The sequence below is a fragment of the Homo sapiens genome, chromosome 18 (assembly GCF_000001405.40).
Source record: "Homo sapiens chromosome 18, GRCh38.p14 Primary Assembly".
Lineage (NCBI taxonomy): Eukaryota > Metazoa > Chordata > Mammalia > Primates > Hominidae > Homo > Homo sapiens.
The window spans coordinates 32,189,723-32,204,817 of NC_000018.10; the positions used below are offsets into that span (position 1 = coordinate 32,189,723).

General features: G+C 39.3%; 1 protein-coding gene and 1 pseudogene across 4 annotated transcripts in view; one reads left to right on the forward strand and one right to left on the reverse strand.

Moving 5' to 3' along the window:
- Nucleotides 1-316: 316 nt before the first annotated feature.
- The window catches only part of MEP1B (meprin A subunit beta), a 30,366-nt gene continuing 15,587 nt past the window's right edge, over nucleotides 317-15,095 (forward strand). For all 4 annotated transcript variants that reach the window (NM_005925.3, NM_001308171.2, XM_011526013.3 and 1 more), the window contains exons 1-7: nucleotides 317-411; nucleotides 2,100-2,118; nucleotides 2,924-2,968; nucleotides 3,052-3,095; nucleotides 5,685-5,763; nucleotides 13,171-13,288; nucleotides 14,460-14,638. In NM_005925.3, coding sequence (NP_005916.2) covers nucleotides 349-411; nucleotides 2,100-2,118; nucleotides 2,924-2,968; nucleotides 3,052-3,095; nucleotides 5,685-5,763; nucleotides 13,171-13,288; nucleotides 14,460-14,638 — 547 coding nt within the window. In that variant the 5' untranslated portion in view covers nucleotides 317-348. The remainder of the gene's footprint in view (nucleotides 412-2,099; nucleotides 2,119-2,923; nucleotides 2,969-3,051; nucleotides 3,096-5,684; nucleotides 5,764-13,170; nucleotides 13,289-14,459; nucleotides 14,639-15,095) is intronic.
- CLUHP6 (clustered mitochondria homolog pseudogene 6) lies at nucleotides 6,105-7,245 on the reverse strand (annotated as a pseudogene).

Genomic DNA, 15,095 nt, shown 5'->3' on the forward strand with positions numbered 1-15,095 from the left:
AAGATCAAGATTAAAAATTAATTTGATATATATATTTTTTGCTTAAGTGGTGTTTACTAGTCTAAGGACCAGTACACATACATTAGAGAATGTATTCATTAAGAAGTCTCAGCCAGGCACTTAATTGTTGACACAGGAAAAAAAAAAAAAAGCCAACAAACCAACTCCGCAGAGCTGTGTTAAAAATACTGGACTTTCATCCCTTGATTGGAGGTATTATTACAGCATCAAGCTGACCTGCAATATGGATCATTGAGATCAAAGGCTATAAATTATAATGTTTGCCTTTAAAGAAGTCAATTCAACCCTGAATGTCATAGTTAGCTACTTTCAACTGGAAGCTACAACATGGATTTATGGAATCTGTCTTGGTTTCTGTTCTTGGATGCTCTTCTCGTGATTTCTGGCTTGGTAAGGAAACAGTATATAGAAGATAATTTAAAAATTTTGGGGCAGTTGATATTGATTGTTAAAGAACAAGTGTTTTTTTTTTGTTTGTTTTTTATACATCTTGAAATGTTGATCTCAAATGAGTGTTTCTTCTTGGAGATTAGGGGTGGGCAGTGTGTAGGGAGTGACAAATAGCCACACCAGAGTAGAGACATTGATATAAAGTTATGTTTTCCTTTCAGTTTCATCATTGTGTAACAAGTTTTCTTTTGATGAGATTATAAATGTGTATTTTGAAAATCATTCCATTTTTACTGCTGAATGAAATGCAGATTGCTGCACAGTAACTTGAGACATGAATGAGTGTCACAGGCACCGTCAGTACTTACAAAGTTTTATAACGTGGTATTTCTCTTATGCTTCTTCATCAGTTTAGACTCATCCTTCTACAGTTTGGACTAATCTTTTCTATCAGGTAGTTTGTATCACAAACCAACCCAAGGTTTTAAATGAAGTTTCAAATGGCTAGTGGAAAACCTTCAGTTGTTATTTTAAAATAACAATTATTATATTGGGGTGATATTCTATGAATAGGAACTAGAACATTGCAAACAAGAGATACAGATGAATACATGTTAAAGTGTAATTAGGAATAAATCCTTGATAATTTTATTCTGTAGGTGCACTGGCATTCCTCTATGAGTGTATGCCTGTGTGTGGTTATAGTGTGAAACATGCAAAGCACTTGTTAATGTCAAAAATGATGGTAACCATCCATCCAGTTCATTCCCACATTTTGTTAAACGCTCCAAATGATTCTAGTATTTAGATATGTAAGCTGTATTTGAATAAAATTGTACTTTACACTTTTGTGACAATTTATTATAGCTTACAATGAGCCTTCTTTCACATTATATACTGTAACCCTCACAATACCCATGCAAAGCAGGTACTGACCATATCTTATGGATAGTCTGAGTACCTGGAAGGTGAACTGAATTACCCTTAGTTAGTAGAACTGGTAACATAACCCAGACAGTCCTATGAGCTTTTTAATTCAATCACACTAAGACATTTCTCAGGTTTACTTAGTTGTTTTTTTTTTTTTTCCTTTGGACATGTAGTCTGAGTTTCATTGACCATTTGTGGAGAATCTATTTTCAGAAAAAAAATTAATCACAAAATGTACCCATTGTTTTTCTTAAATATTTGTATTGTCTTTGAAGGCAGAATTATTCTGGGAGAAACATGAATGCAAAATAACTTGATTAATGAGTCTTGAATAACATTTCTTTTTAAAGAATTGTTATAAATTACAGTATTATTTCAACATTGAGAATAAATTATTTGGTTTTTCAAACATTGCTCCATGAATGCTTTAGAAAATCGTGTGTAAAGTGAGCACTTATTTGAGAGCTAGAGTCTTATGTTCTGCCTTTTCCCCCCCAATTTTTGAAGTTGGTTTCTTGTTTCCTTCACCTTCAAATTGATTTAACAGGCAGTTTCATTTTCCATATGAAATGAGAAGACCCTTTGGTCAAAAAGTCATCTTAAACTTCAATTTAGCCATCCTAAATACATGTCAGGAAGTAATCCATAATATTAATGACAAAACAAACAAACAACAAATGGTTAGATATAAACTGAATCCAAGAAGACCATTCCTGGGCATTATAATAATATGTTTTGTTTATGTGTTTATTTCCCAGGCAACTCCAGAAAACTTTGGTGAGTCTATTTTGAGTTTTGTTCTAGGTTATAGAGAACCTAGGACATATTTAATGCTAAACATCATACATAATTACATATGCATAATTGATGCATAATTGCATTGAACTTTGATCTAATACTGGATTCTTTTGATTTATGGAGGGACATTTTATTGTCCATGTTCCAGGCTTCATATGCCCAGCAAAGAAATAGATGGTATAGGAAAGGCCAAGCACAGTGACTGACACATAGACATCCCATAAATGCTTGCTATTATTGTTTTTGTTATTTTGTGTCAAATCAGATGGACCTAATAATAACAGTCTACTCAGTATTCACTTGCATACTCGGAGATTTGGCCATATTATATACACCTTTACAACTTAAAATAGTAATTCAAGTTTAACTTAAGAATTTTGCTTGAAAGTTCCAAGGTATACTACTAGCAAGTGATATACATGTATGAGTAGATTGGGCTAGTTTGACCAAATTTAATCATTTGTTTGCTATTTAATCTAGTCTTCTAGTCTTTCAAATTATGCTTAATAATATATGGAGCAACCAATTTCTTATTCCCGAAGTCATTTGACATTCAAGGAATGTCGATAGGACAGAATACATACATAAAAGCTCTTTAGAGCCCAACCTGGCTCATAGGAGATTCTTAATCAATCAATCAATCAATCAATGTATGTTGAGTCTGAATCTAGTAGTCACCTGAGGCCAAAAGAAACTTGCTTAGTTCTGATTATATAAATGATAAAGGTTTTCTCCTTTTATAAACATAATGTTCAATTTTTTGTTGTTGTTGTTTTAATCAAAGATGTAGATGGCGGAATGGACCAGGACATATTTGATATCAATGAAGGTTTGTGGATTTTTTTTACATAATCTCTTAAGTAGAGAGTTTGAATCCAATTTGCTAACATGAATTTTTATCTTTACTCTTAGGTTTGGGACTGGATCTTTTTGAGGGTGACATCAGACTTGATAGGGTGAGTTGAAACAGTATAAGGAAGAATCTTCCATTAACCACTGCAAGCCAAATTCAGAGTAACTGAGAAAGATTAGACAGCATGAACTTTGTTAAGCCTAACTATCTCTAAGGGTGCAGAATCATGGTGACACATTTATTCAATGAATATATTATACTCAAAGAAATGCATATAATTGTGTCTTCATCTTTCATTACTCATATTTCTGTGTGGTTCAAGCCACCATAACTCATTACATATGTCTTAGTCTTATTGATTTGATTGATTTTCATTATTGGAGCAATATGACATTTGATTTTAAAATAGGACCTCACAGATTCAATCTAGTGGAGGCAAAATTAAACTGAATTTGTAAACATCTTCAATGAATCAGGCTTTTTACCCCAATAAATAGATTTTGTGACTTCTACCCTGGCCTTAGCTAAAAATAATGTTGCCAAGTTAAGACCCTCCCAAACCTATTCATAAAGAGTGCTGATTCTCATCTAAGTCATCATGCCACACAGATAAACACAAGAACCTTGCAGGTAGATTAGGGGGACTAAAAAGTTCACTATCATGAAAGCACTGTTTTTTTCAGTGTTCTCTCACAGCATGGAAATAAGCACTATTTTTCAAAAGACAAGATATAGTTTATTGCCCACTAGATTGAAAAATATTAAGAAACTTACTACTTACTATCCCTTTTGGTGATGATAGAGAGAAACTAGGATGCTTGTTTAGGAATGTGTTTAGAACATGTTATTATACTGGAGAGTGTATAAATTTGAAAAAAAGAAAGAAGGCAATTTGAGAAGAGCTAGCATAGTTTAAAATATATACACCATGTGGCCTAGAAATTACCCAGTAGATCTTTTCCTGTAAAATTCTGCTCTTCCTTCCAACACAGTCCTAAGTCACTCCCTTACTTCCTATATCGTAAGCACCAACATCCCTCACAGTCCTCCCACCCCCAGGAAACAGAGCTGCAGTCTCCCAGGCTTAGTCCTGAGCCTACTCTTCTATCTGTGCTCTCTCTTGATCTCACCTTCGTCCAGGGATTCAAATGTCATCTCCATGCCAATGAATCCAAAGGCATATCTCTGGTCCTCTCCTTTCCCTGAGCTCCAGACTGGTCTATCCAAGCACTAATTTGCCAGCTCCACTTGAATGTCTACAAGACGTCTCAAACCTAAGGTGTCCTCTGATCAGGTGAACTCTGACCTTCCCCCCAAACTGTTCCTCCCCACTCTCCTGTCTTCATAAAGTCATCCTCACAACCTGACTCTACTCAACTGAACACATAAAAACCTTGAGCGCCACCTTTGCTTCTCCTCTCTCCTTCACTCCCCATCCAGCCCGTCAGCAAGTTCTATCATTTCTAGCTCTAACATACACTGCAAATCGTCCACTTTTCTCCATCACTCTAATTCAGGCCCCATCATCTCTTGCCTGGCTTTTTCCATTAGCCTCCTAATTTGTCTTTCTATTTCAGATATTGTTCCCCTATAATCTTTTCCACCCTGTTACTTGTCCTTATCTCTCACAGCAAAGTCATTTTTCAAACAGGCAGTGACTTCATTTCACCTCCTGGCTTGAAACTCTTCCATAGTTGCCTATGGGTTTAGAATCATCTCCCGATTTAGTCCCAGCTGTCTAAGCCTAGCATGCCTTAGCTCCTGCTTCTGTCCTCCCCTCTTCCCTCCCCTCTCCTCTCTTTTCCTCTCCTCTTATCTCATCCACGTTCTCTCTTAGACTCATCAGGCTACTGGTCTCAACACATATTCAAAACATCCCAGGCATATTCCCACCTCAGAACAAGAACAACTAATGTTCCCTCTGCCTGAAACCACCTTCCCAGGACCCCTTTCAATGCTGGCTCTGTCTTGCGATCCCTATTTCCCCTTAAATATCATCCCTTCATAGACGACTGTCCTGATCACTCCATCTCATGTACTCCGTCATCCCTGTGCCCTTGTTCACATCTCTCTTTCTAATTTCCTCCCTATTGCATTCATCCTGCTTAAACATTTTTTTTTTTACATACTCTTTCTGTCCTCCACTAGATATAAGCTCCATGAAGCCAGAGACCTTTATTACCAAGGAATCTCTATTCTCTAGGACAATATTCAATTTGTGGACTGAGTAAATACATTAGTAAAATATTACTCATTTTCTATTATACAGTTTAAAATCCTTTAAAAATTTTTGAAAACTTTGGCCCAGCTCATGTGTGACTTTTTCTGATATTGTGAGATCCAGATTATCAAGGTCTTGCTATCACTGTTTTCTTGCAAATTTTTAATCTTTAAGTGTAGGAAACTAACCTATAAATCTACCAATATTTGTAGTTCAGTTTTCCAACAGTTATTTTTTGCATTATTCCTTCTTCAACTGTATTAACAAAATGATAGAAATTAGTAATTTCTTCCTAGAAACTTTGTTATATTATGATAAAAGTAGGGCTACACACACACACACACACACACACACAATTTGTTTGTGCGAACTGGGAGAGCTTTAAACTTCATTTATTTCTAGATTAACTACAGGTTTCCTAAGTGTTTGCCTTATTTGTTTAACTAGCCCTTTTGCATTTATTTTTGACAGGCACAAATTAGAAATTCCATCATTGGAGAAAAGTATAGATGGCCTCATACCATTCCATATGTTCTAGAAGATAGCTTGGGTTAGTATGCACCTTGAAGTATCCATAACTAATGTCTATTTCTGACAAAATATGATTATAGTGTTTCAAAGGGTGGGCTTATATAGTCTTTAAGGTTTTGTTTGGTTTGCTCCTTTGTGTGGCTATGTACATTTACTTTGAAAAAAAAAATAAGCAAAACGAACAATGAAAGTAACCTAAATGACTCTGTCTGAAATATTTACAGTGTCTTGACCAACAAAGCAATGAGTTCAACCAACGTTTATGGAGAGCCTACTCTGTTATGCTAGGGACATAACGATTAGGGAGCCAGTCTTTTTTTGTGGGGGAGGGGCTCTGCATCATATATTCATTGAACCAGTGCAAAAACATCTTTTGGAGAGCAGACAGGCCAGGCCAGGGTCCCAGGAGGATGCTCTGCTGGGGGTGCAGTGAGGGTGAAACATGGAAGAAGAGGGCCTTGCTTCCTCTTCCCATGGCAGGTATGCTCCTTTCTCCTAGAGTCTGGATCCCTGGTGAGTGAGGCCACTGACTGACTGTCCATCTGCCTGTCCCTCTCTATCCCTGCAAGTTCGGGGAAGAAGGGTCATTGGCAGCCCGGGGCTGGGAACCCAGGTCCTCTGGTGCCCCCGCTGGCTCGGGCTCGGTGGCCTTGGGCTCCTTGGCCTCATCCCTGTTTCTGCTGGCCTTCTGGAGCTGGTGTCACTGCGCCACCTCGGCTTTCAGACTCTCCAAGTCTTTTTGGCTGAGAGGAATGAAGAGGATGCCATTGATGCCTTTGAACTGCTCCAAGACGCTGGCCATGCTGGGGGCTGTGAAGTTGAGGGGCGGGATGTTGTTGCTGGAGCCGTTGCGGTAGATCTCATGCATGGCGCGCCGCAGGGCCACGGCCAGCTGGGTCAGGCACTTGAGGTACTCAGAGCTCTCCTTGGTCTTCTCCTGGTCCTCGCCCAGCTGGGTCTTACAGAGGGTGTGCAGCCAGCCCTTCCTTCTGGTGCTGCAGGGCCGACCGGAAACTCAGCTTTGCTCTCATAGACCGAGGTGATGAGGTGGTGGCCAAGGGCCACCTTGAGAGCTTTGGGCCCTTGGTACTTGGTGCTGACGGCCAGCGCGTTGTCCAGGAAGCACAGCGACAGGTCGTACTCCATCACCCTGTGCAGCACCCGCCTGATGTTGTCCAGCACGCCACCTCGGGGTGTCTTCCCCAAGCACCAGCGCATGAGGTAGTGGGCGCCCTGCAGCAGGCTGAGGGCCAGGGACAGCTGCCTGCTGGTGAAGCAGTGCAGGGCCAGGTGCATGTTTTCCTGGATGGTGTTGGGGTGCTCGATGCCCATCACCCGCACGCTCATCAGCACTGCCTTCTGCTGGCTTCTCAGGGCCTCTGCGTACTTGCCCATGATGTAGTGGAGGCGGGCAAGGAGGCGCAGGCAGGCTCAGATCTCCACGTGCACTGCTCCCTACACTTGGTTAAACAGGTGCAGGGCCTGATTGATGGGCTCACAGGGAGCCAGTCTTTATTTTAAAGCAGTGGTTTACCCTATGATCAATTATACATATGAGAAAATACATAAAATAACCAACTAAATTTGAGGAACTGGCATTGTTTTATCAACATTTTATTTTGCCAGGTCAGGAACTTAAACAACAACCTAACATGATAAAAGAGCTTTCATCATCCTCTTTTCATACAGTAAATAATGTTATTAGTGTAGTATTAAAATGTTAAAAAGTCAGAAGAATCAAATCCAAAACTAAGAACAGCTTTTCTATAGAAGAAATTTAAATATGTTGGAAAACTCTAAACATGGTCTTCATTTTAATCTATGGACTAGTGGCAATGATGCCACTGACCAGCATTAGCTTAGAAATTGCTGTTTGGGAAAAGTTTGAGTAAAAACCCTGCTATAGTTTTTTAATTTTTAATTTTATTTTTCATTTTTGTTTTTTTTTTTTTGTTTTGAGACAGAGTCTTGCTCTGGAATGCAGTGGCACAATCTCAGGCTGGAGTGCAGTGGCATAATCTCGGCTCACTGCAGCTTCTACCTCCCAGGTTTTGGCGATTCTCCTGCCTCAGCTTCCCGAGTAGCTGAGATTATAGGCATGTGCTAGCACACCTGGCTAATTTTTGTATTTTTAGTAGAGATGGGCTTTCACCATGTCGTACAGGCTGGTCTCGAATTCCTGGCCTCAAGTGATCTGCCTGCCTTGGCTTCCCAAAGTGCTGGGATTACAGGTATGAGCCACTGCACCCAGCCTGTTATAGTTTTTTAAAATTTCAACTTTTATTTTAGATTCAGTGGGTACGTGTGCAGGTTTGTTACATGGGTGTGTTGCATGATGCTGAAGTTAGGGGTACAAATGAACCCATCACCCAGGAGTTGAGCATAGCACCCAATAGGTGGCTTCTTCAACCCTTTTCTCCCTCCCTTTCCCCTCTTGTAGTCCCCAGTGTCTTTTGTTCTCATCTTTACATCCATGTCTATGCAATATTTAGCTCCCACTTATGGGAAAACATATGGTATTTGGAAACCCTGCTATTTTTCTTAAAGATCATGCATTTCAGTGGAGACTCACATAAATCAAAAGTGAATTATGATAGAATGGAATAAACATTATGATTAGTGATGTGTTCAAAGAGCTATGGGAGCACATTGGAGGGGCAGTAAACTCAACCTGGATAGAAAAGCATATGCATTATAAGCAGAGGACGCTATATAGCAGGACTGCCATGAAGACTGTGTAAGTTGTACACCGTACAACTGACATGACCTCCTGGAGCTGGTGCTGCCATGCCACCTCAGCTTTCAGATTCTCCAAGACTTTTTGACTGAGAGAAATGAATGAAGAATGCCATTAATGATGTAGAGCTGCTTCAAGAGGCTGCTCTCAGGTGGCTGGGCCAGGAAACAAGTGGAGCTGATACCAGGTTTACGTTCTTTCTGTTCACCAGGAGGCATTTGTTTCTTTGTGTGAAAGTGCTGTTCACCCATCTGGCCAGCCAGCAACTGCAGCACCTGCTCAGAGGTAGTGCCTCTTCCTAATTGGCACACAGGCACCATGTGGGCTAGTGTGGCCTCTGATAGCAAGGGAAGGGTGCTTTAGCCAGATGCATCACGATCTGCTAAGTCCTGAAGAAGGGAGAAAATCCTGAGCTGGAATTTAGATTGAGAGTGGGGAGCTAGGAAGTTGAGCAGGTAGGCGGAACGCAAATGGGGAAGGACTTGGGTCTTCCCGGTGTTAAAGAACTTGTCGTGTATACTAATAACATGGGGCCACCAAAAGTATTATTGTGGAAGTGAGATTGTTAAAATTGCAGTTTAAAATAATCACTTGGGTTGAAGTATAGAAGATGTGTCATTAGTGGGGTAAAAAGAAGATAGGGAGACCAGTTAGAAAACTACTGAGGAAATTCAGAGAAAGAATTAAGAGATTCCTAACCAAGATAAATCTAAAAGCTATTTGGGATGCATTTGTTAGATTTAGTGATTGACTGTAAGAGGTCAAGAAGAAGGTGGGTGTAGAGAAAGAGATTCTAGTGCTCAGGATTCAGTCCTGGGTAGCTGAGGGCATGGTAACGTCTTCAACAAGAATGGAGAATTTAACCTTGAGGAGCATGAGACAGAGAAGCATGGTGGAAATTAGTTTTTGGCATGCAGAATTTGAAATGCATCAGAGTCACTGTGGTGGAGATACCAAATAAATTCTTGGTATATGACCTGGTCATTCAAGGTCGAGAAATGTTTGGGAGTTATTAGGATGTAAGAGATGGTTGAAGCCGTGAGTATGGATGAGCATTTCACACAGTGCCTTGCATAGAGCAGGTGCTCCATAGATAACTGGATTTTATTGATTTATCCTGGAAGGTTGTGTTGAATAAGTAAGAAGATGGTCGAGAATGAAACTCAGTGCCATTTTTTGGAACTGGTATAGAAGGAAGATCTAGTGGAAGTTATTGAGAAGGGGGAATTGGCCAGAAACATAGATAAAAAACTAACAGTAGGGTAGGGAAAGCCAGGGCAGGAGTAGTTAGCGGGGTTGGAAGCCATAAAGAGCACAGGGGGCATGAGGAGAGAAAGATGTTCATTGACTTTTGGAATTAGGAACCTGAAAGATTTTGAATATACATGTTTTTTTGGTTTAGTCTTTTGATTAAAAAATTTTTAAGTTCTTTTGTTTTAATTCTTCCTTTTTTTCCTTTCGTTCGTTCCTTCCTTCCTTCCTTCCTTCCTTCCTTCCTTCCTTCCTTCTTTCTTTTTTGAGACGAGTTCTCACTCTATCACCCAGGCTTCAACCTCTGCCTCCCAGGCTCAAATGATCCTCCCACCTCAGCCTTCCAAGTATCTGGGACCACAGATGCATGCCACCATGTCCAGCTAATTTTTTGTATTTTTGGTAGAGATGGGGTTTCACCAGGCAATCCACCCACCTCGGCCTCCCGAAGTGTTGGGATTACAGGCGTGAGCCACCACATCCAGTTATATTTCTTTTTTTAAAAAACTTATTCTCCTAAGTATGTTCCATGAAAGATTAGGGAGCTTTAATTTTATATATATCTTAGGCTATTTTTTTTTTGCCATGTATTTAACCATGAGCTTTATTTATTTTTTAAACAACATTATAAACAACATAATGAATGCCTTGAGGATAAGAGCTATTTTTCATCTTGCAAATTGGAGGATTACCATAGTCTCTGGCGTATTATATGTAATAACATTTTTGAAATAAATTGATAAGCATATGTATATATATAAATGAAAAATGTTAGGTAAAAATTCAGCCTAGATCCTACCATCCAAACTGTGCACATTTTTACATAGTTATAACTATGATGTCTTAAATCTTTTGTTCTAATTTTTTCACTTAATGTTATTGCATTTTTTCATATTGTATAGTCTTTATAATAGAATCAAACTTCAAATTTTTATAGAACAATTTTTTTCAATTATGTGATTTTGATTATTTCTTATTTAGAAAATACTTTTGTTTAATATTGTAGAATTCAACTTGTTTTCTATGTTCAAATTAAGAAAAGTATCCTTACGTTTCAGAAATGTATACCATCTTCAAATGACTCAGACTAAGAAAATTACTAAGCAAGGCCACTCTTACAGGTAGCAAAAATAAATACCTATGAAGGGTTGATTTCTGGAAGGCCCTATTACTCAGATTCTAGTAGGTCAAACTGTGAAATTCTACCAGTAGGGTTGTAGTCTTTGAGCTTGAACTTCAGATGTTACCTGGCTGGTAGATGCAACTTCCCTGAAAGGAGTAATACTCATAGCAGCCATTTATAGTTTCCAGGGCCTAAGTTATAATTCCTTGCCTTAGCACCAAGGCAGAAAAGGCAGTGGGGGAGGCTGAGGGTAAAGAGTTGGGGATGGAAATGAAGGGGAAGGTGCTAGAAACCTGAAGGGGCTACTAAGGGGAAACAATCCTGAACAGCTGCTTACTGAACTCCTAGGATTGCCAGCAACTTGCCTCATTTTCCAAAGCCTGGCATGGTTCCAAGTGGAGCTTTCTGCATCTATAACGCAAGGTTAACTAAGGCCCTCAGTAAATAAAGGCATATGGAAAACAAAGATCTTATCTTGGTAAAGGGCCTCAGTGTTTATAAAGCTTTCACGTGTTACTTTATTTATTAATTCAAGAAACTATCCTCATTAAGTTTTGATAAATGGCCTAAACTAGTATGCTCTTTTACATTCTGTTTAAAACAGTGATATGGTGGTCAGTATTATCATACCTTATTTGAAGGAAATATTACATTTGAAATAATGACCCAAATATGATACTTATAGGACAGAACATTTTGAACGTTAACAGCCATATGTAGATACACACACACACACACACACACACACACACACACGGCATACTATTTCAGGGTGTTCATAGACCTTCCCATCTCAGCGTCCTCGGATTAAAAGCCCAGCTGTGAGGCTTTAAATACATATTATAGCTTCTCAGATTAAGTATGTGGTGGCAATTTATTTTGATTGCCTGTGATCCAATGTCCAATGGATCCAATTTGTAATCCTCTATTCATTAAAATGATAAAAAGAATAATGATGAAAAAATATTTTGATGACATAATATTTAGTGAAAAAATAGTTGGTAAAATGCTATGTAGATGACTTTATTTTTTATAGAAATATTAACATATGTATGTTATATATGTATTCAAAGGCAAAATGTATGGTAAGGGTGATTGATTATTCCTGGATGATAGGATTTTAAATTTCTTTTTATTCATATCAATTTTTAACTTATTTATAACGATAGTGTATTACTTATGTGGTATTGTAAAAGTCTGAACTTAGTGCCTTTTACAACTTATGGATTTTAGGGTCTTCCCTATGTGAATCCTGTTCTTGATCTTCTTAGACCTGCCTCAACAGAGGCATACCAAGTAATCTTCCTTGAATGTCTATGCAATGGTTACTCTAGAAGGGAGAAAGGAAATGAACATTTGACAAATGCTAATTTTACTTGGAACTTCACCTTTACTTTCTCTTACTATCCTCACAATATCCTGCAAAGTTGATTTTATTTCCTCACTTAACTGATAATAACACCAAAGCTCCAAAGGTTGATTGAATTGGCAAAAGTTTTATGTCAAAAGTGAGTGGTGAGGATAGGGAAGAACTTAGGTGTGTCTGGCTCCAAAGTCCAAGCACTTTCCCCTCTGCCATACTGTCTCCCACCTCCTGGCAGGCTCCCATCTTTCACGTCACTAGGACCTGGCCCATGTGATGCCTCTCCATGTGCATCTGATACAGCCCGTTCCTCCTGGTCACTCACAAGTTTCTTTTCCTGCATGTTGTTTCTTCCACACCTCTGCCTTCTTTGAGCTCCATATCCATATCACTCTTATATCCAGAGCATTGGCTCTTACCCTTATTTTGGGCCCTGAACTCACTTGCAGACCTCATGAAAGCTCTCTCTAGAAAATGCACTTTGCATTTGTAGATATGCACACACACACATACACACTTTGCATACTATTTCAGGGTATTCATAGACTCTCCCATCTGAAGATCCTCAGATTAAAAGCCCAGCTGTGTGGCTTTAAATACATATTATGGCTTCTCAGATGAAGTACGTGATGGTGATTATTTATTTTGATTGCCTGTGATCCAATGGATATGTTCTCTGAGGTAAAGATGCATTTTTATTGTTTAGTAATGCACCATTAGTGAGTGAGTGCTAGAGAAATATAAGGCCAAATAAGGGATCTGAAGAATAAGCAGATACTGTATATGATATTCAATGGGTACTGAATTCTAATTTTTGTAAAAATAAAAGACTCAACATTCATGAAGGGACTAACTCATGATAAGCAATATATTGCAGTGGCCTGCTTCCATGGAAGATTTTTCAGTGGTGATTGTTTTAATAAGCTTATTTTTGTTTGTTTTCTTCCTTCAGAAATGAATGCTAAGGGAGTTATCCTCAATGCATTTGAACGTTATCGCCTTAAAACATGTATTGACTTTAAGCCTTGGGCTGGAGAAACAAACTATATATCAGTGTTCAAGGGCAGTGGGTAAGTTGCAGACTTAGTCTTCTAAGGCATCTAAGGAGAACTCTAGTGCCTGGGACATTACATTGCAGCAATCATCCTAGGCTCTGACCTTTAGGAAGGGGTGGGGACTTTCTTGCTAGTTGCTGGAGAGTAAAAAACAACTGGATCTAGTTTTTGTAGACATAGAAATTATATTCCCATACATGTAACCGCCTTTAGACAAAGTGGAAAGTGGATGGGATTGCATGCCATCAGACCCACAACCTTGTGAATTTCAGCCCGTTTGTAATTTACATACTCTTTATCCCTTTCAAGTAAAAAACATGTGTATTTATGTGTGTCCATGTCTGTGCTTAAGCTTATTTTAACCTAACCACTCTTATTTCTTGGGTTAAGAAGGCGACAGTATTATTTGTCTTGAGCTCAGCAATTCTGAGTGGTTGCTGTCCCTGTAAAACCCTTGTTAATGGGCACAGGCATAACGAGGAGCTCAAAGACTTTGAAATTCACAAGAAAAACCAGGTCTAGACCACCTTGAGGACGATTTGCTCCTATGTAATATTTGGTGTTAGGGCAAGTTCTTTAAAGATCACCTGGTCTGTAAGGTTTTTTAATATTATACAATACCTGGTATATTAGGCCATTCTTGCATTGCTGTACAGAAATACCAGGGACTCGGTAATTTATACAGAAAAGAGGTTTAACTGGCTTTCAGTTCTGCAGGCTTTATAGGAAGCATGGTGTTGACATCTGCTCAGCTTTTGGGGAGGCCTCCGGAAGCTTATAATCATAGTGGAAGGTGAGGGTGGAGCAGGCATGTCGCATGGCAAAAGCAGGAGCCAGAGAAAGAGTGGGGAGGGGGAGGTGCTACACACTTTTAAATGACCAGATCTCATGAAAACTCACTATCGCGAAGACAGCACCAAGCCATGTGTGGTTCGTCCCATGACTCAAATACCTCCCATGAGGTCCCACCTCCAGCACTGGGAATTACAGTTCAACATGAGATGTGAGTGGGGACAATTGTCCAAACTATGTCACCTGGGTTATGAGAGAAACGCACAGTGTTCAGATGTAAGAGCAAAGGTGGGTAATGAAGTGGGTAATGAAGTGGACTAGGCAGTGGCGATTCTGCCCTGAGACCTCAGATTGTAACATTCTCTTCCCCCTTTCTTGTAAACTCTCCTGTAAGCTGCTGGTCTTCAGTAGGAAATAGGCGGGTTGGGAAGCAAGAACTTTCCATCGGGGCAAACTGTGACCGAATAGCAACAGTTCAACACGAGTTCCTCCACGCTCTGGGATTCTGGCATGAGCAGTCGCGTTCTGACCGGGATGACTATGTCAGGATAATGTGGGACAGAATTCTGTCAGGTACATTTCTCTTTTTTTCCTATGTTTTTAGTTAAGGACTGAATTTCTAAGCATGTGTCCTCTCTTGTCATCTGTGGCAACTGTTAATAATTTTAAAACTTTGATGTTTTGATGTCTTAATTCATTCAGCTTGAACTCATTCTGAGTTATTGGAGCACTAGTATTCCAGAACCCATATGAGCTAGATATGCTCTAGAAACTGGTTTTGTGGTTCTTAAAGCATATTCAGTCCCACAATATGTTCATGAGTATTATGTGGAACGGAGTCTGTGGCCAAATTAGTTTTGCAAATCCCCAAGTCTTAGTCCATCTTGCACTGCTATAACAAAACACCACAGACTGGGTAATTTATAAAGAACTGAAATTTATTCCTCATTGTTCTGGTGGCTGGAAAGTCCAAAATCAAGGGGTGGGCATTTGATGAGGGCCTTCTTGCTGTGTCACATACCATGACAGA